Source organism: Homo sapiens, chromosome 10 (genome assembly GCF_000001405.40).
Source record: "Homo sapiens chromosome 10, GRCh38.p14 Primary Assembly".
Taxonomy (NCBI): domain Eukaryota; kingdom Metazoa; phylum Chordata; class Mammalia; order Primates; family Hominidae; genus Homo; species Homo sapiens.
Genome location: NC_000010.11, coordinates 4,847,424 through 4,868,936, shown reverse-complemented (window position 1 = coordinate 4,868,936; position 21,513 = coordinate 4,847,424). Strand labels below are relative to the sequence as shown.

Here is a 21,513-nt window from a genome sequence, read left to right as displayed (position 1 = left end):
GCAAATAGAATTTAAAAAAATATAAAAAGAATTATACACAAAAACCAAGTATAGCTTATATCAAGGATACAGGGCTGGTTCAATGTTCAAAAATCAGTTAATATAATCCATCATACTAAAAAACTAAAGAAGAAAGTCACATGATCATATCAATTGATGCAGTGAAAGCATTTGACAAAATTTAACATCCATCCATAATTAAAACTTTCAGAAAATAGGACTACAGGATAACTTTCTAAACTTGATAAAGAACATCTGCAATAACCTACAGCTAAGCTGAATTCTTTGTCCCTAAGACTGGGAAAAAAGCAAGGATGTCCACTCTCAGCACTCTTTTTAAACACAGTGCTAAAAGTTTTAGCCAATACAGTAAGACAAGAAAAGTAGATAAAAGGCATACATATCACAAGAAAGAAAACTGTTTCCATTTGCAGGTGACGTGATTGACTACATAGAAAATTCCACGGGCTTATGTCAGCAAGATAACTGACTAGAGGTTCCTACACTTCTCCCCACCCACAAAAACAGACCAAAGCGATGAAGAAACAACTACATTTTGACCAGAGCAACTAAAGGAGAGCTGTAGAGTCTTTAGATAATGGATGAGAGAAACTCTGTGGAGCAAAGAGACTCAGGATGGCCATATAGAGAAAGGAATAAAACACGCTGCCTCTGCCACTCTGTCATCCAGTCAGGATCAGCTCAGAACCAGGAAGAACTTCTCTCTGTGGGAAAAAAGTAAGCAACAGGAACCCAGAAGCTGGCATTGCCACCACAGACTGCTGTAGTCTTTGATAGTGGAGAATCTTACAGTATTTACAGGCCTGACCCCAGTTTAGGAAGCTGCCTGGAGTTTATACAGCTGCATTACTCCATAGAAAGAGCCCACATTATTTCCCAAACCCCCAACGATCCAGTCTCCTACTAAGCTGCACCATCTTAAAACTGGAGCCATTATTAGAGTGTGCCTGCTCTGGGGGCAGTATATATATCACAGTGAGGTTTCAAGAGTCACCAAAATAGGAAAGCTGCAAACTTGAAATGCTCCAAGGTTTTCGTTACAAAGATAAGAAAGACGGACCCTGAGGACGCTGCCTCTCGCTTTGACAAAGCCCAGACAATGAGTCACATCAAGTAACACATGGCTTGGAAAAGGAAGGAAAAACACTGGAAGGCCAACGCTGTTCTTATCACTGCTACACAGAGCTGAAAGCAATGTTAGAACTGTGGGTTAAAAAGAAACTAGTCAAGTTCTTCAACGGATGAATGGCGTTATCTTTGCCATGCAATCCTACTCAGCAATGAAAATAAACTGACTATTGGCACATCCAACACCTTGGCTGAATGGCAAGGTAATTGTGGTGACAGAGGAATGCCAGTCCAAAAAAGTTACATAGTGTGTAATTCCACTTATACTGAATTTGTAAAATAACAAAATTATAGGAATGAAGAACATACTAGTTGCCAGGGGTTAAGGAGGCAGCAGAGGCAGAAGACAGCTGAATGCAATTAGAAAATGGTGACAGGGAGGGCCCTCATGGTGACGGAAATGTTTTGTACCTTGACTGTGGAGATGGAAACGTGAATGTGTGAAAAATTGTACAACAGTGAACACACACACAGACACCAAGGAATGCAACCAAAACTGGAGAAGTCTAAGACAATATCAATATCAGTATCTTGGTTGTGAATCCACCTTTGCAAAATTATGACTGAGACAGTGAAAGAGATCTAACTTAACTGACTCCATCTTGCTTCTAACCTCCAAGTTGTCCTTGTTCATTCCTGATGGTAGGTTGAACTAACTTTGGGAGTAACTTAGTTTATAGTTTAAACAAAGATGGTAACAGCCCTTTCCCACAGCAGACCTCCTTCTTGCCTGGGGACTAGATTTGCCTTTGTAGGATTAACATTAGCCACAAGATTAGAAATTATGGTTGAGGAGTCATGCAGCTGGAGGCTACAAGATTCTGACCCTCCGTAAACTGCTCCTAAGTGCCTGGGTATTTTGCAGATCCTGCACTTGATGGATCAGCCGGCCCCACTCAGATCAGTAAACTGACTCATCTGATATTGTGGCCCCCACCCAGGAAATGACCGAGCACAAGAAGGCAGCTTTGACTCCCTGTGATTTCATCTCTAACTACTCAGCACTCCTGGCTCACTGGCTTCCCCCCACCCGCCAAGTTATCCTTAAAATCTCTGCTCCCGGAGCCTGCAGTGAGCCGAGATGGCGCCACTGCACTCCAGCCTGGGCGACAGCGAGACTCCATCTCAAAAAAAAAAAAAAACAAAAACAAAAACAAAACTCTGCTCCCTGAATGCTCCGAGAGACTGATTTGAGTAATAATAAAACACCGGTCTCCTGCACAGCTGGCTCTGCGTGAATTACTCATTCTCTATTGCAATTTCCCTGTCTTGATGAATTGGCTCTGCCTAGGCAGCAAGCAAGGTGAACCCCTTGGGCAGCTACATTTGTGATAACTTACTATATAGGTTTGCAAGATGGTAATATTCAGGGAATCTGAATAAAGGGCAGACTCTGAATTATTTTTTGCAACTTCCTGTGTATCTATAATCATCTCAAAATGCAGTTTAATTTAAAAGAAAACCAGAAAACTGGTTCCAGTGCTACGCGTCCTCTCTTTGGATTCTTTTCTAGTCCACCGTCAAAAGAATGTGGATGTGGCTCTAGATTTAACCCCTCCTACCTTTTATTATGTAATTCAAACATAAAATCTGTCTCAGAGCACAGGAAGGAGGAAGTGGAAATGATAAAGAGGATCACTTTGCTGAAATATAATCAGACCTATTTAGCCTGGACAGTGAAAAACAATGGCCCAATATACATGCTGTTCTCTGAAACTGAATGACAGAAACTTCACGTCTGTCCTGGGATTTGGTACTGCTAGTTACAAAACAGTAAGAATTCAGTAAGTTTGAGAGAGAAGGAGATTGACCAAAAGAACCCTAGGGGAAAACAATCCTTTCTAGAAATTGTTTTCAACATAAAATTTAAATTTTCCCCCAGAATTCCAAATGAATAATGATGAATACAATTTTTCTTTAGCAACATAACTCTCTAACTTGAGCATGTGGTGGCAACGGTTGGGTTGGGGTGGACTCTTTTTGTTAAGCTTCAGTAATTAAAGGCTCAAGTCCTACCAATTTATAATTATGCACATTTTTAAAGATTTTGAAACTTAATACCGATTATCTCTAGGAGACCTATATAAATTTATAGTCCTACCAAAAGTCACTGAAAGGGCTATTTTTCCACAAACTTAATATGTATTGAGGGATTTTCTTTTTCTTCACTTGTCAATGTTTTACTTTTGCTAGTTTGAGTGGGGAAAAGGGAAATTCATTGTCAGATTCACTTTTATTTCAATTATCATTAATTTGCTTACTGGCTTTTGGAATTTTCTTCTTCTGAAAATTACCTGTTCATTTACTTTATGGCCCAGGTTCAAATGCTAGCTTCAATGTTTACTATCTATTATAATCTTTGACAAATTACTTGACTTCTACCTGTCTTCTAAAATTTGTTATTGGTATCAACAGTACCCAGTGCAAAGGATTATTCTGAGGAATAAATATAGAGTACAGGGTACTAACTATAATCAATAATTGTTAGTTACTAGTATCACTCCAATACCATCTTTTTAAATTTTTCATTTTCTTAATGATTTAAAAGATCTGTTTTACGTATTATTTTTGTTTTGTCTTTTAAATGAGATAGAAGTGTTTTTCTTGCAGTATGGTTATTTGACTTTTAATTTGTTTAATGTGAAGTTTGGACATATCTGTTTTTAATGTGTTAGAGAGTAACTTTATTCACCCTTTTTACACCCCATCGTTCCTTCCTTTACTTTTAGGCCAAATAACAAATATTCATCTATATTCCTTTCTAATTTTTCTGTAGTTTTACTCATAGTTAACTCTTTATTCAAATTGGGATTTTGGTACATAGATATGTAGGAATATTTCATTTTTCACTCATGAACTTATTACTGTATCTCTGCAAAAAGAAAGGAAGTTATTACAAGAAGGATAGCCTTGTTGGAAGACTGGCCCACACAAGGGACTCAACGTGAACACACTATAATTCACTTACTCTGTTATTGGTGTATAAGAATGCTTGTGATTTTTGCACATTGATTTTGTATCCTGAGACTTTGCTGAAGTTGCTTATCAGCTTAAGGAGATTTTGGGCTGAGACGATGGGGTTTTCTAGATATACAATCATGTCATCTGCAAACAGGGACAATTTGACTTCCTCTTTTCCTAATTGAATACCTTCTATTTCTTTCTCCTGCCTGATTGCCCTGGCCAGAACTTCCAACACTGTTGAATAGGAGTGGTGAGAGAGGGCATCCCTGCCTTGTGCCAGTTTTCAAAGGGAATGCTTCCAGTTTTTGCCCATTCAGTACGATACTGGCTGTGGGTTTGTCATAAATAGCTCTTATTATTTTGAGATATGTCCCATCAATACCTAATTTATTGAGAGTTTTTAGCATGAAGGGCTGTTGAATTTTGTCAAAGGCCTTTTCTGCATCTATTGAGATAATCATGTGGTTTTTGTCTTCGATTCTGTTTATATGCTGGATTACGTTTATTGATTTGCATATGTTGAACCAGCCTTGCATCCCAGGGATGAAGCCCACTTGATCATGGTGGATAAGCTTTTTGATGTGCTGCTGGATTCGGTTTGCCAGTATTTTATTGAGGATTTTTGCGTCAATTTCATCAGGGATATTGGTCTAAAATTCTCTTTTTTTGTTGTGTCTCTGCCAGGCTTTGGTATCAGGATGATGCTGGCCTCATAAAATGAGTTAGGGAGTATTCCCTCTTTTTCTATTGATTGGAATAGTTTCAGAAGGAATGGTACCAGTTCCTCCTTGTACCTCTGGTAGAATTCAGCTGTGAATCCGTCTGGTCCTGGGCTTTTTTTGGTTGGTAAGCTATTAATTATTGCCTCAATTTCAGAGCCTGTTATTGGTATATTCAGAGATTCAACTTCTTCCTGGTTTAGTCTTGGGAGGGTTTATGTGTCGAGGAATTTATCCATTTCTTCTAGATTTTCTAATTTGTTTGCATAGAGGTGTTTACAGTATTCTCTGATGGTAGTTTGTATTTCTGTGGGATCGGTGGTGATATCCCCTTTATCATTTTTTATTGCATCTATTTGATTCTTCTTTCTTTTCTTCTTTATTAGTCTTGCTAGTGGTCTATCAATTTTGTTGATCTTTTCAAAAAACCAGCTCCTGGATTCATTGATTTTTTGAAGGGTTTTTTGTGACTCTATCTCCTTCAGTTCTGCTCTGATCTTAGTTATTTCTTGCCTTCTGCTAGCTTTTGAATGTGTTTGCTCTTGCTTCTCTAGTTCTTTTAATTGTGATGTTAGGGTGTCAATTTTAGATCTTTCCTGCTTTCTCTTGTGGGCATTTAGTGCTATAAATTTCCCTCTACACATTGCTTTAAATGTGTCCCAGAGATTCTGGTATGTTGTGTTTTTGTTCTCGTTGGTTTCAAAGAACATCTTTATTTCTGCCTTCATTTTGTTATGTACCCAGTAGTCATTCAGGAGCAGGTTGTTCAGTTTCCATGTAGTTGAGTGGTTTTGAGTGACTTTCTTAATCCTGAGTTCTAGTTTGATTGCACTATGGTCTGAGAGACAGTTTGTTATAATTTCTGTTCTTTTACATTTGCTGAGGAGTGCTTTACTTCCAACTATGTGGTCAGTTTTGGAATAAGTGCGGTGTGGTGCTGAGAAGAATGTATATTCTGTTGATTTGGGGTGGAGAGTTCTGTAGATGTCTATTAGGTCCACTTGGTGCAGAGCTGAGTTCAATTCCTGGATATCCTTGCTAACTTTCTGTCTCGTTGATCTGTCTAATGTTGACAGTGGGGTGTTAAAGTCTCCCATTATTATTGTGTGGGAGTCTAAGTCTCTTTGTAGGTCTCTAAGGACTTGCTTTATGAATCTGGGTGCCCCTACATTGGGTGCATATGTATTTAGGTTAGCTCTTCTTGTTGAATTGATCCCTTTATCATTATGTAATGGCCTTCTTTGTCTCTTTAGATCTTTGTTGGTTTAAAGTCCATTTTATCAGAGACTAGGATTGCAACCCCTGCCTTTTTTTGTTTTCCATTTGCTTGGCAGATCTTCCTCCATCCCTTTATTTTGAGCCTATGTGTGTCTAACGGAGAGCCAAATCATGAGTGAACTCCCATTCACAATTGCTTCAAAGAAAATAAAACACCTAGGAATCCAGCTTACAAGGGATGTGAAGGACCTCTTCAAAGAGAACTACAAACCAGTGCTCAACAAAATAAAAGAGGATACAAACAAATGGAAGAACATTCTATGTGCATGGATAGGAAGAATCAATATCGTGAAAATGGCCATACTGCCCAAGGTAATTTATAGATTCAATGTCATCCTCATCAAGCTACCAATTACTTTCTTCACAGATTTGGAAAAAACTACTTTAAAGTTCATATGGAACCAAAAAAGAGCATGCATTGCCAAGTCAATCCTAAGCCAAAAGAACAAAGCTGGAGGCATCACACTACCTGAATTCAAATTATACTACAAGGCTACAGTAACCAAAACAGCATGGTACTGGTACCAAAACAGAGATATAGACCAATGGAACAGAACAGAGCCCTCAGAAATAATACCACACATCTACAACTATCTGATCTTTGACAAACCTGACAAAAACAAGAAACGGGGAAAGGATTCCCTATTCAACAAATGGTGCTGGGAAAACTGGCTAGCCATATGTAGAAAGCTGAAACTGGATCCCTTCCTTACACCTTATACAAAAACTAATTCAAGATGGATTAAAGACTTAAATGTTAGACCTAAAACCATAAAAACCCTAGAAGAAAACCTAGGCAATACCATTCAGGACATAGGCATGGGCAAGGACTTCATGTCTAAAACACCAAAAACAATGGCAACAAAAGCCAAAATTGACAAATGGGATCTAATTAAACCAAAGAGCTTCTGCACAGCAAAAGAAATTACCATCAGAGTGAACAGGCAACCTACAGAATGGGAGAAAATTTTTGCAATCTACTCATCTGACAAAGGGCTAATATCCAGAATCTACAAAGAACTCCAACAAATTTACAAGAAAAAAACAAACAACCCCATCAAAAAGTGAGTGAAGGAATATATCTTTTAGGCCACACACAAAAAGTTCACTTATCTATGGTAAATTATTTCAAAGAATTTTTGACTATAAAGACATATTGGCCAGGCGCGGTGGTTCATGCCTGTAATCCTAGCACTTTGGGAGACCGAGGCGGGAGGATCACTTGAGGTCAGGAGTTTGAGACCAGCCTGGCCAAAATGGTGAGACCCCATCGCTAATAAAAATACAAAAATTAGCTGGGCGCGGTGGTGCAACTGTAATCCCAGCTGCTTGGTAGGCTAAGGCACAAGAATCGCTTTAACCCAGGAGGCAGAGGTTGCAGTGAGCCAAGATCACGCCATTGCACTCCATCCTGGACAATGGAGTGAGACTCCATCTCAAGAAAAGAAAAAGAAGAAGAAGACATATTGCACATTTTTACTCCCCTCCCAAAAAAATGTTCTATATTTGCTAATGTGCTCTGGGATGATGATTAGTTTTTAGAGTTTTTTTAATTAAATAACACATTAAATCTTCTTTCTTAAGGTTGAAATAGATGTCCGAAAATATTTCTGTCACTGTGAGATTTTGTTGTTAAAATGATAGAAGTGTGGCACCTACAAAAATTTCCTGAACACTTTAAAAGTTTTGGATAGAGTGTTTTAATCTGTTTAAAAATCTTCCAAATAAAATGTTTTGTAAGTTTTGAGCCTGATTGATTACAATTACATACCAAGAGCATATCAGAGGAGATTATAATGTACTGGTCAAATTTCAAAAATTATACAAATGGCAAAGGGGACTGAGAAAACCATACCATGATTTATGAAGAGGACCCAAAGACGGACTTCCCCTATGTGCATCGAAGCATCTCTATGAGGCATCCTTAGCTGCAGTTGACTGCCATGAAAACCGTATTTCAAATTAAACTGAATGTAGAATCCCAAGGTTCACATTTCTAGGTCAAAAAGCATTAAATCAAGAAGGACCAACAAAAAAAGCCAATAAAGCATATTCATACCATTGCTTTGAAAAGAATTTGGTATTAATCACAATATATTAGAGAGAGCACAGAGTTTGGGTTATTAATAAAGCTCTTATTTTTCGATTTTTAAATTTAATCTTCAGATGCTCTAAGAGTATTTAATAATGTATACATCGTATTAGTAAAGCAGTACATTCATATAGTAATAAATCAATAAACATGGATATATTTCTATGCAAATTCAAAAAGCTTTACTGATAGAGGTGCAATCAAAAAAGTTGGCAGCCACTATGAGGTTCCCCTTGTGTGAATCAGACAGGACAACAATGCTGTCCTTGGTCATAAAGGTTCCTCAGAGAGAGTATGAAGAGTCCATCACAACAGCTATCAAAACTGGCTCTTGCCACATAGATTCAGCTTCTGTCTATAAAAACGAAGAAGCAGTTGGATGGGCTATTTGTCAGAAGATTGCAATGGCACCGTGAAGAGAGAAGACATATTCTTGACCTCAAAGGTGCCTAGTGCCCTATGGACTCATCTTCTACCCCCAGCCTCTAACTCATTATTTTAAAAACACAAATCCAATATCATGACTTATCTCTGTAAAGATTTCCTGTCAGTTAAAGTTTAAGTTCACTGGCCTGGAACATGGGGGGATAGTGTAGGCCTTGCCAACTGTTAAATCAGGAACTGGAAAGGATCTGAGGTTTTTGCCCCAGTAGAAATATAATAGTCAGCTCCTGACAGTCATACTTGCTGACAATAGATAGACAGACACTGGCGGAAGACACAAGGGCCCTGCCTCAGGAGCTAAGATGGCTCACTACTCTTCAAAAGCAGCAGCCAGAGCCCCATCTGGTGCCTCGATCCCCAATTCCCACAGGTCAACTCCATGAGGGCCAAATGGCACCTGCACATGCATGGAGTGCATTCTAAGGGAGACACCACAAAATTAGAAAATTCTGATCTTACACAGAGCCACTGCTGACCTGTCTATTCTCCTCTCCAGAGAGAGATCACTCATGTAACGTAAGCCATTCTTTTTCAGAGAAAGGAAGGACAGTCTTCCTCTTTTTACCTTAAGATATCTAAAGAGAGATCTGACCCTATTCTTCACTTTCCTGGAATTTCACCTCATACAATGGCTGTAAATGCCTTTGCTCAGAAAACCCAGAATTGGCAGAAATATGAGAAGTGCGGGCAGAATTGTATCCCCACACTTAGATCTTTAGCCTCACCTCTCCTTTTCCTATGCTAATTCTAGCCAGAGGGGAAAAACTGTTGCTTTTTAAGACCATAGTGTTCTTCCAGGCCTCATGATTTTGTTTGCATTTCTGACTGTTTTTCTTTCTCTCACATATCAAATAACTACTCAATGTCTTATCTTATATCCAGTATATCCTGTGCCATGTCTTCCTCCCTGCCTCTTGGCCTCTGGTACCGAATGTAGTCGTAGCACATATCACACTCAACGTTTCATTTTCCATTTGTTGTGCCTGATATTTGTTGTGTTTCAACTGACAGAGTTGAGAATAGAAACGATGCTTCATTCATATTTGTATCCTAAACCCAATACATAGACTAACACATTGGGATTCAATTTATGTGGGTGAAATAAATGAATAAATTGTGACAAAACTTCAAAGACCATACATGATCTCGTTGATAAAATCCAAATTCCTGGCTGGGTGCAGTGGCTCACATCTGTAATCCCAGAAATTTGGGAGGCTGAGGCGGATGTCACCTGAAGTCAGGAGTTTGAGACCAGCCTGGCCAACATGGTGAAACCTCGTCTCTACTAAAAATACAAAAATTAGCTGGTCGTGGTGGTGGATGCCTGTAATCCCAGCTACTCAGGAGGCTGAGGCAGGAGAATCACTTGAACCAGGGAGGCGAAGGTTGCAGTGAGCTGAGATCACGCCACTGTACTCCAGCCTGGGTGACAAAGTGAGACTCCATCTCAAAAAAAAAAAAAAAAAATCCAAATTCCTTAGTATGTGTTTAAAGTGATCTGATTTCTACCCACCTTTTCAGCCTCATCTTCCACCACTCATCTCCATGCATTCTAGTCTCTGGTTGTGCCGACGAATTGCTACTCCCCTAGTGCATGCCTTCTTTCCACCTTGAAACACCATATAGAACATTGTAAAAGCTGCCTGAAATATTCCTCTCGTCTTGGGCAGTCTTTCTATTGAACCTTAGGCATTCATCTAAAATGTCTCCACCACCCTGGCCTGATCTTCCACACACTTTCTCTCTGTAGTTCTATGCTAACTTGTGTTACCTCAATTGAAGCACCAATTGCATTGAAATAATTATTTGCTTACATGACTATCTCCACCATTTAATATTGTGGTAAAGACCAAAGACAATTCATCTATTCATTTTTAATGGGGAATATAGGATTCAGCCTGCTGTAGGCTCAATGAATGAATGAATGAATGAATGAAGAAATAAATGAGTGGGTCTATATAAAAACAGTACCCAACTTTCCTTTTTTTCTTCATATATGTAAGATCTACTCATATGCTTACTGACTCCAATTTTCAAATGGCCTAAAATTGATCTTCTCAAATTTGTTTCCCTGGAGTAGTTAACACTATGAGCTACGTCAAACAAAGTCAAAGAATAAGTATGACTCATTTTGACTCGTTTTCCTGAAATGTCAATGAAAGAAATTGACAACATAGATAATATTTATATTAAAACTAACATGGTAAAATCAACAAACTAACTTTACATCCTAAGGAACTAGAAAAAGAACGAAACCGAATCTAACAGAAGGAAGGAAATAATAAAGACAAGAGAAGAGATATATAAAATAGAAAATATTTACAAAGGTAGAAATAAACAACAATGAAACAATGAGTTGGTTCTTCAAAAAAGGTCAACAAAATTGAAAAACATTTAGCTTGCTTTACTAAGAAAATTAAAAAATGATAAGACTCAACTGAAATCAGAAATTTAAAAACTCATTTAAATAAAAAAAAGTATGAGAGAGTAGTGTAAAAAGTTGTATGCCAGCAAGTTAGATAACCTAGATAAAATGAACAAATCCATAGAAACACATAACCTACCAATACTGAATCATGGATGAATCTTTTTAAAAATTTTTATTTTTATTTTTAATTTCTGTGGGCATATAGCGGGTATATATATTTATGGAGTACGTATTAGTCTGTTCTTGCATTGCTATAAAGAAATACCTGAGACTGGGTAATTTACAAAGAAAAGAGGTTTAACTGGCTCACAGTTCCACAGGCTGTATAGAAAGCATGATGCTGGCATCTGCTCAACTTCTGGGGAAGCTTCAGGAAACTTACAATCATGGCAGATGGGAAAGAGGGAGGGGCACTTCACATTGTTGGAGCATGAGGAAGACAGAGAAGATGTGTGTGTGGGGGGTACTACACACTTTTAGATAACTAGATCTTATGAGAACTCATTCACTATACAGTACCAAGTGGGGGATGGTGTTAAACCATTCATGAGAACTCCAACCCCATGATCCAATCACCTCCCACCAGGTTTTACCTCCAACACTGGGGATTACAATTGAACATGAGATTTGGGTGGGGAAACAGATCCAAACCATATCAGGGTACATAAGATGTTTTGGTACAGCCACGCAATGTGAACTAATGAATTATGGATGAGTCTTGAAAACAATATGGTAAGTGAAATAAGCCAGGCATAAAAAGGCAAATATTGTGTGATTCTACCTATATGAGGTCCCTAGAGGAGTCAAATGTATAGATCAAGAAAGTAGACTTGTGGTTGCCAGGGGTTGGAGGAGGAGGGAATGGGGAGTTATTGTTTAATAAGTAGAGAGTTTCAGCTGGAGAAGATGAAAATACTCTGGAAGTGGATGATGGTGATGGTTGCACAACAATGTGAATGTACTTAATACCACCGAACAGTAGAGTTCTACAGTTGATTATAAACCATCTTCTAAAGAGGACCAAAACAAGGCAAAAATTGTCCATGGATGACAAAAGTCTCAGGACAGTTACAGTCAAAAACATAATTGACAAAGAAATTTGGTTACCTCTGTGCCATGGAATGATTTTATGTAACAACTAGTGTATTAATAACATACACTAAGTCATATCAGAATTATAGCAGTTTCCCATAATTTTGGAACATATACTAATAATACATTTATACAAACACACCTGAAAGAAAATCAAACACCATTTCATATTTGACAATGCTTCCTGTATGACTTTTATACCAAATAAGTCAACTGTCACTGTTGCATTAGTGCATTATTGATGTCAGACCTAATTCTTAATAAAACCTTATAGATAAATGTATCCAATCGTATTCACTTTGACCATAAGGTAAGATTCTTATAAAGCTTTTATAACCCTTTATAATTTTTGTTAAAGAGCAGGTCATAAGCAGGTTTTTGCTCTAAGAAAAACCTGTTGTGCTTTTATTCCAATATTCAGTCTACAAAAAGCTAGATAATACCCCTTTAACTTTAGCCAATATGTTCACAAACAGAATTTCTTTTACAGGATTAATTTTTCACAAACCTTCCACGACTAGCTTAAACCTTCAGCTTTACTCTAACTTAAGACAATTATTTAACCCTTTAGCAGAAAAATCTACATTCCCATGACTTCTTATAGTCTTTTACCAAAAACATATTCTACTTTCTTTACATACCTTGCATGTAGAACAGTTTCTCCAGTAGTCTCAAATATATGTTACACTGTTAACTCTAAGCGACTTTTACTTTTGGTGAAAAACCTTGGTAAGTTTGGGATTTTAATTTTGTACTAGGTGTGCAGGCTAGGACAGCAGACAGAAGTTCAGGTAAGGGCTGACTGTTTCCTGCACAGCTAGGGGGCATGGCTCTCCACATGTCCCCAGGCCTTATCTAGAATCGAATGCTCCGAACTAGGTAAATTGAACAATTTTCAAAAGTCTAAGAAGCAGTTTATGCCCTTAAAGCATTTAGCAAACCTAATATTTGACCTGCCTAATTTAGACCAAATGTATTTATTTTACCAATAATCTTTAAAACTGTCTTTATTTCCCAAAGATTACTTAAGTCACATGAACTAAAAGGCATTACACTTTTTATTTTTCTGACAAAATGTTTGATTTAAGCTCTTATTCTTTTTAAGCCAATAAATTAAAGCTCTTTCGTATGTAAACATTACATGCACAACACATACAAATACAGACAGAGAGAAGATAAAGGACTCATTCCCTAAGCCAGGAATTGGACCTGAACCTGGGCTGCCATTGTGATGGCAGAAACCAAGAGAAAGTACTGCCACATGGTTACAAGGTCAAGCTCGCAAGGACACACAAGACAAGGGGGAAACCTCATCCGGTTTTTTTCTGGGACCTGCAGCAAAGTTTATAACTGACACGTCTGCTTGGCCATCTTGAACAGCAGGTGTATAGCTGTCCTAAGCCCATATTCTATTCTAAGATACTCCTCCTTATGACAGAACAATACAGAAAGACACACAAAGCACATCAGATTTGCCCCAACTTATGACTAGCCTCACAAATCCTTTTTTCCATTAATCAACACTTTACAAAGAAGAGAAGATAAACAGTTATTTTTACCATTCATTCAACCCATTTGCAGGGATGGTGAAGCACTGCCTGAGGCAGGGTGGGAAAGGCAAGGTGCTCAGGGAGGACAGAGAAAGACCCACCCAAAGGCAGCTACACTGAAAAGTTCAGGTGGCAACTTGTGGTCATGAAGCGATCTTTTCCAGCAGTCCCATCAGCTCTCAAGTTTCCCTTCTTAGGGAGGAAAAAGCTCCCCATGTCCCATGATCCTGTACATGTCTAATCCTGTCACCCATAGCCATCAGCAAAGAGGGCAAGGCAGATTATTCCAAAGACAATAGCAGTTAACATCCCATAGTGCCAAACCCATTCTTAGCCGAAAGAGACTTTACCCAGAGGGGCCTCTAACCCTCCTTAGTTGGGCCTCTAACCCAAGGTCAGTCAAGTGTCCTTGCCTTTTATGAAGAGGGGCCTCTAACCTACTCTGTCTTAGGAGAGACCCTAACTCCCCTAAGTTAGGCCTGCTACCAAATCCCATTCTTTACCTGGGTATACACACCCCACTTACCCAAAGTCCGCTGATCACTGCTGTAGTCTATTTCCTTTGGGTGGGAGGTCTCCTCAGTATCAGCCCTTTTGTGGTTCATGAGAAAAATGTTACTGGACCCCACCCACCACTTACCCAAAGTTAGCCTCTGGGTCGGGGCGGGGGGTTCCTCACTATAGTCCCTTCAGTGGTCACAAGAAAGATGTTACAGCAAAGGGTCTGGAAGAAGACCCCAAGAGAGGGTTCTTAGATCTCGCACGAGTGAATTCAGGGCAAGTCCACAGAGTAAAGTGAAAGCAAGTTTATTAAGAAAGTAAAGGAGTAGGCCAGGTGCGGTGGCTCATGCCTATAATCCCAGCACTTTGGGAGGCCAAGGTGGGCAGATCATGAGGTCAGGAGTTAAAGACCAGCCTGGTCAATATGGTGAAACCCCATCTCTACTAGAAATACAAAAATTAGCTGGATGTGGTGGCATGCACCTGTAGTCCCAGATACTCGGGAGGCTGAGGCAGAAGAATCACTTGAACCCGGGAGGTGGAGTTTGCAGTGAGTTGAGATAGTGCCACTATACTCCAGCCTTGGCAGCAGAGCATGACTCTGTCTAAAAAAAAAAAAAAAAAAAAAAAAAAACAGTAAAGGAGTAAAAGAATGGCTACTCCATAGACAAAACAGCCCCAAGGGCTGCTGGCTGCCCAGTTTTATGGTTATTTCTTGATGATATGCTAAACAAGGAGTACATTATTTCTGCCTCCCCTTTTTAGACCCTATAGGGTAGCTCCCTGACATTGCCATGGCGCTGGTGGGAGTGTAGCATTGAGGACGACCAGAGGTCACTCTCATCGCCATCTTGGTTTTGGGGGATTTATTGCAACCTGTTTTATCAGCAAGGTCTTTATGACCTGTATTTTGTGTGACCTCCTATCTCATCCTGTGACTTAGAATGCCTTAACCATCTGGGAATGCAGCCCAATAGGTCTCAGTCTCATTTTACTCAGCCCCTATTCAAGGTGGAGTTGCTCTGATTTAAATGCCTCTGACAGTTGTCCCCACTTTCAGTTGTTCCATGTTTCCAGACCAAACCAAAGTCTATCTCACTTATACGGATTGGTGTCTTATGTCTCCCTAAAACATATAAAACTAAGCTGTAACCAGACCACAATGGGCACATGTCCTCAGGATCTCCTGAGGCTGTGTCATGGGTCATGGTTCTCATATTTGGCTTAGAATCAATCTCTTCAGATATTTTACAGAGTTTGGTTTTTTTTTTTTTTTTGGCAACAAGTTCCTCATTGCAATATTGCAATTAACCTTAAACAAACTACTGTGTGTCCAGTCTAATGTATCAAAGAAATACAATTATCTGAAAAAGCTCTAAATATGCCTCCTTTTTCCAACTACTAATTTATGAGGCTGGGGTTTTTTCATGAAGTTTAGCCAAGACATTTTGATTGAATGCAGACTCAGATATGAAATCTACAAAGCCAGACTTATTAAATAAGTTTGCAAACATATAAAACAACGCCAATCTTGTAAATATTTTTCTTTTGCCTTGGGGAATATATTATGAGAGTTTGGCTCTGGTTACTATATGCTACAATAGTTTTTAGGGGCTTACTTTCCCCATTGCTTTGTAAATGATTCTAACTCCTAATTGAATTCAATTTCTTTGTTTCTTCTAGTAACATCTATCCCACTCTGATCATTTCCTGAGGTTTCCTAAATGTTCTTTTGTCTTAAGACATAGCCCCACAACCTCTTTTATCTCTTCAGCTTTAAAATATCCCTCAAGGTCACAGACACACACAGAAGGAAGACCATGTGAGGACACAGAAGGAAAAGTCCTGGAGAGAGGCCTCAGAAGAAACCAAATCTGTTAACACCTTGACCCTAGACTTCTAGCCTCTAAAACTGTGAGAAAATGGATTTCTGCCGTGTAAGCCAAAAAAAAGAATAAAATATTTTTAGAACAAAAACAACAAAATAAAATGAAAATAAAAAAGCAGCAGCAATTCCAGCAGACCTTGCCAATCCATCTCTGTTGTATTTTCTGCTTGCAAACTGTCCTAACCTGCTTCAGCGTAAATTCATTAGACACCAGGTGGGGTGGCACAGTGGTGAAGGTCTGTCCCTGCAGCTGTCACAACTCAATCCCACTTAATCTAACTTAATTTCAGAGATTCTCTTCCTTTGGGTAGTCTCTAGCTAACGGTATTCTCCTTCCATTGATGGAGCTATTTCTGTCTTATTATTTTACAAGAATTAATCGCACCACAGTTTCTGTTGTTGCCCAGCATTTGTTCAGGGCCCTTTGTGCCTGCAGAATCTTCTTCACTAATGAGGGCCGTGATCTATCTTGACAAGAGAAGGAGCCTTTTTCATGCTCTTCAGCTCTTTGAGAATTTTCCACTTCCCCCTAGAGATGCTGATTTTTCTAGCCAAGAAATTGCTGTTTCCGTATCTCCTTCTGATTTAAATATACCGCCTCTGTTTAAAATCAGGGCTGGAAGTAAATTAAGCATATAATGGCTTGAACTCGTGTGACTCACCAATCCAGTCTCACAGTAATTGTTTTTCAATGATTTCCCAGGTGAAGTAATGCTGGTCACCATTGGAATAGAGTTTTGCAGGTTTAATGAGCTCTTCTGTTTCTTTCATCCAAATACTCGTCAATACTGCCAAGAAATGTTTGATTTTCCACTGGCGTCACATGGAACGGAGCTGTGTGTTCAAAGGGTCTGGCACTGTCACTGGGCCACATGCCAGTCCTGTGGGGTGGAATGTGTCCTATCTTCTCGGGAATCAACACCAAAAGTCTCACCCTCTTATTTACATAGTTTAAAAAGATTAATTCCAAGAGAAAGAGTACCTAGTTAACTGTTTCCCACATGGTATGTAATTAAAAGCCCAGCCTCTGAAGCCAGATTTCCCGAGTCAAATTCTACTTACATCACTTTACTAGCTGGGTATTTGCGGGTAATTTACTTAACTTCTCTATTCCTTGGTTATTTCATTTATAAAACAGAAATAATGGTAAATCCTACCTTTCTGTGAAGATTCAGTTAAAACCTGTAACATACTTATAGAATAGTACCTGGCACACAGAAAGCATCGAGTTAGTACTAGCTAATGTTAGGGAGGGATTGGTGTTGGAGCATGGATATAATTCTAAGTGGCAGAGGCGATACGTGACAGAAGTGCACATTAAAAATTGTAGTTTTCCTTGTTCTCCATGTGTTCAAAGTACCAGAAACCAGTTGGTGAAGACAGGCTTCCAGTCCAGCTCTAGCCTCCTAGTGAGGACTGCCAGGCTATGGAAACTGGGCCTAGAGTCACGCCCATTAGCCCTCTCTGCCCAGAGCAGAATCCAACCGGGAGTGACAATGACCACAGTATGGTGGATGTCACATCATCTAATGTTGCTAACCTAGGTCTGGATAGTTGATTTGCCCCAGTGTATGGATACGTAAAAGAATTCAGTCCTGTGAAAATATGCTGCATAACAAGAAAAAGGAACACAATGAAGACACAGGGTCTTGATCAATTTCATGATATAAAATGAAAATGTGCCCAAACCCAGCCAGAGCTGGTCGCATCACATGTCACTGTTCTGTGATCGCCTCCACATGCGTGCCTCTCCCATTTCAACTTGGGTGTTTAAGGGCAAGACCAAGTCTCCCTCATCTTTATAACTAAGGAATAACAATAAAGAAAGCTTGTTGGAGAGCTGGGGTTGAGCTTGAAGCATTGTTTTAGACACATAAAGTTTAAGGTGCATATTAGATGTCTGTGTGAAGAAAAGGAGAAATGGAAGAAAGAGAAAAGATGGAGAAATAAACGTGCTAAAATGCGAATTTTATCATTGATTAAAGTTGGGAACTAATAAATAGTGTCTAAATGCACAGTTCCAAGATTGTGCACATAGTCACCCTGCGGCACCCACAGTGAACTCATAGGAATGCCATGGGGGATTTCACCAAAGACATACAAATGGCCAATAAGCACATGAAAAGATGCTCAGATCATTAGGCAGTAAGGAATTGTAATGAAATCCACAATGAGACACCATTGAACACCCACTAAAACAGCTGTAACAACAACAGGGGCAGACCAAAACTAATGCTGGCGAGGGTGTGGAGAAACCGGAACCTCGCACATTGCTGATGCGACTGTAAGCCTGTGCACTTTGGGAAACAGTTGGCAGTTTCTCAAAACAATCAAACATAAACTGCCATCAGTCAGCGAGGCCCTGCCATCCTCCCCAAGGTCTCTTGCTCCTTGATGCCCATTTGATGCCCATCCACACCTCCCGAATCTGTTTCCAGCTTTTTAAGCCTTTGATTACCACTTATCCTTGGATTTTCCATTCAAATAAAATACGAAAGTGCCAATGAGGAGAAGCAGCTACTGAAACGAGTATCTGAGTATCTCCCAGTCTTAAAGTCAGGAGAGATGCCCACAATCATTTGACGCAGAGGGTCCCTTAAGGGCACACGTTTACACCTCCTCTGTGGACCTTGGTCTCCAGGCCCCAGAGTGGGGAAGAACTTACACAGAAGTCACATTCCCTAGAGAAAAGCAGGGAACCAAAGAAGGGGAGGGCTTGTCAGCTCCACTCAGAATGAACAGACAAGAGGGGCCGGGTTATCAATTACCATCTGAAAAGGGAACTGGGAAATACTGCTCAAGAACGAGGCTGCGTAACTTCTGTGAAACTTTTTAAGCTTTGCAGTTGCCCAGTGTTTGCCTATTTTTGCTATCCATTGTTTCCTTCCTCACTGTGATTGTACAAAGTTGAAGAGGTCTTAAAATCAAAGACAGTAAAAGGCTGCCATCTCCTGTTAAGAGCCGCAGATGCACTGGACCATTAAGTGCTTCCCAGCGCCACCTGGTGGCCAGCTTCACTCAGTTTTCATGCCGGCTGGAAGTAAATCCATGAAATGCAAATAACGTAGTGGATCCTCATTGGCCAGCTATCGTGAGACACCTGACGTATTACTGTTAACCAACTCACGCTACTGTGCAATGGAGCGCTGAGACTCATTCCTCCCAACTGCAACTGTGTCCTTGCTGACCAACCTCTCCTCATCAGCCATCCACCCCTGCCCTCCCCAGCCTCTGGTAACCACCATTCTACTCTCTACTTTTAAGGTCAATGAACAATGGTTTAAGTATAAGTGACAAGGAAAATTCACAAAATAGCAGTTAGATTTTTGACTCTGTGGGAGATAAAATACAAGTCACACACCTACACACGCATGTGTTCACAAGAGTGCTACATGCAGATGACTGTGTCACCTGCTGCATGGCACTATGCCACTGAATCCTAACACCTCTAGGTAGACAGTGACAAAGAGTTTAAAGGTTTAAAAGGTTAAGTAATTTGCACAAAGTCACACAGCTAATGAATGATAAGGAGTCACGAACATGGAAAAATTAAAGGTCCATGGTGGTGGACAGGGCCTGATCGTAGGAAGGTCAAGAGACTCTCCCATTTCCTCAGTCCTTTGTAAACAGTCTTCTGATTAAACTCTCCCTGGAAATTTGGTCAAACCATGACACCCCACCCTCAATCCTACCCCCACTAGGGCGAGGCTCCCATGAAGCTCTTGCACCAGTCATGTCTTTTCGTTTTGGTGACACCCGCAGCAAAGTCCTCTCTTGAGGCCAAGCTAGAAGGTTTCTACACATCCCTGCACATCTGGAAGGCTGGGCAGGGAGGTGGATGAGAAACTGAGGAATGAGGCAATGGCAATGATACTGGTCGCAGTAACAATGCATTCTTCCTAGAACATAACTTGGGCCAGATGCTGTCTCCACAACCGGGAGGTGCTGCAATTCCTCCACTGAGTGGACAAGGACACTGAAGGCTGGGAGGTGAGGCAGTCTGCTCAGGATCACAGAGCTAGAAAAGCACAACTTTTATCTGCAGAACCCACACCTCTGACTCAGCTGGCCTGCTTGTGATAGAGTGAAAATGGGAAGTGATGTGGAGGGGAACTGTCCCCAAACAGTCCCCTTCAGCCACTGGGCAACACCTCCATATCTTCCCTGAACCTGATGCAGAGGGAGGAGGAAATGAGAGGCTTGTTTGGAGGCTGATGTGGGGGACACAAGAAGCGGGAAGAGACCATGGAGTAGACATCAATTTCTTTCTGGCTTAACTCATTTTGAATAGGAGCCAAGGGCCTGTGAGTTGAGAAGTTATATCCCTGGAGATCCGGTATGAATCCCAGGGCACAGGAGCTAGGCCAGATTCACTGAGCAGACAGCAAAGACAGGGATCATGGCGTCTGGACCACAGGAAGTCCATTAACCCACACCCTCTACCAACGCCTGGGCGTGAACACCATGCTCTGCAGGGCCTCCTTCTGATACATGAATCTAAACAGGCTGAATGAGCAGATGTGAGAAAGTGAGCTGTATTTCATCTCCGCTATGGGGGTTCCCCAGGTATAATCTGACTTATCAGAAGACCGTATTAAAAACTAGTATTTAGGAATTAACCAGCTACTTGGGGGGCTGAGGCAGGAGGATCACTTAAGCCCAGGAGGCGGAGGTTGCAGTGAGCTGAGATCACTTGACTATACTCCAGCCTGGGTGACATAGTGAGACTCTGTCTCAAAAAAAAAAAAAAAAAGAAATTAAAATTCAGATTTTTAAGGAAGAAAAAAGCCTCTTTATTGAACTGAAACAGTGTCCCAGACTTATCCCATTTTCCTTCTCACTGGGGGAAGGGAAGGACTCTGCTTTAGAATAACCTGGGGGTCACTGGCAGGGCACAGAAGGAAGTGTAGGTGACGCGGGCTGGCCTGGGGCACAATGGGTGGAGCTGCGCAATGGGGCAGAGACACATTACACTGTTTCCTCAGCTCTGTAGATGGCTTAAATAACTCCATAAGATAAAGTTTTCTTAAAATGTGAAGGCAAATTTCACTGATGACTCATCAGTGTATTTGTTCAGAGTAGAGGCCACACAGGCTGTCTTGGAGAAACCCCATTGCCTTCACTTAGAACACACTCAATTCTCCAGATTTGTCAGAGAAGGTGGCTCTTACATCCCCCTCTGACTGTGTGGCTCCTGTCCCAGGCACAGCTGCCCTGGCGCTGTGATGACAGAGGAGGGTCAACATTGCCAATAGTGTCTGTGCATCTGGGCTGAGCAGAAACAAGGAAGGGGAAGCGTCCTCAGTATTCTATGTGGAAAGGATAGTCTTTGTGATTTTTAGTTCTGAAAAACAGAAAAACAAATCAAAAATAGGAACAAAGAATGATTATTTTTTAAGAGAAACATT

The 21,513-nt window shown here is 40.3% G+C and overlaps 1 protein-coding gene across 13 annotated transcripts in view, besides 3 other annotated features; it reads right to left on the bottom strand.

The window, feature by feature from the left end:
• Positions 1-21,513, bottom strand: part of AKR1E2 (aldo-keto reductase family 1 member E2) — a 48,265-nt gene that overhangs the window by 4,301 nt on the left and 22,451 nt on the right. For 11 of the 13 annotated variants that reach the window (XR_930518.3, NR_073126.1, NR_073125.2 and 8 more), the window contains one exon: positions 20,875-21,449. Coding sequence is in view for 7 of the 13 variants with exons in the window: in XM_011519715.3 (XP_011518017.2) it covers positions 21,407-21,449 (43 nt within the window). In the remaining 6 variants the exon portion in view is untranslated. Of the gene's footprint in view, positions 1-14,507; positions 14,823-20,874; positions 21,450-21,513 lie in introns of those variants that run through there. The other 2 variants (XR_001747220.2, XM_047425811.1) reach the window with 2 other exon arrangements.
• Positions 1,006-1,300: an enhancer, noted in NCBI's record as "tiled region #12277; K562 Activating DNase matched - State 5:Enh". NCBI's record gives its function as "activates a minimal TATA promoter and a strong SV40 promoter by Sharpr-MPRA in K562 cells {active_cell/tissue: K562}" and the evidence as "EXISTENCE:reporter gene assay evidence [ECO:0000049][PMID:27701403]".
• Positions 1,983-2,258: a transcriptional cis regulatory region, noted in NCBI's record as "candidate enhancer chr10.180 targeted for multiplex CRISPR interference". NCBI's record gives its function as "positively regulates AKR1C1 gene expression with high confidence in K562 cells {active_cell/tissue: K562}" and the evidence as "EXISTENCE:mutant phenotype evidence [ECO:0000015][PMID:30612741]".
• Positions 18,946-19,240: an enhancer, noted in NCBI's record as "tiled region #4775; K562 Activating DNase matched - State 5:Enh". NCBI's record gives its function as "activates a minimal TATA promoter and a strong SV40 promoter by Sharpr-MPRA in K562 cells {active_cell/tissue: K562}" and the evidence as "EXISTENCE:reporter gene assay evidence [ECO:0000049][PMID:27701403]".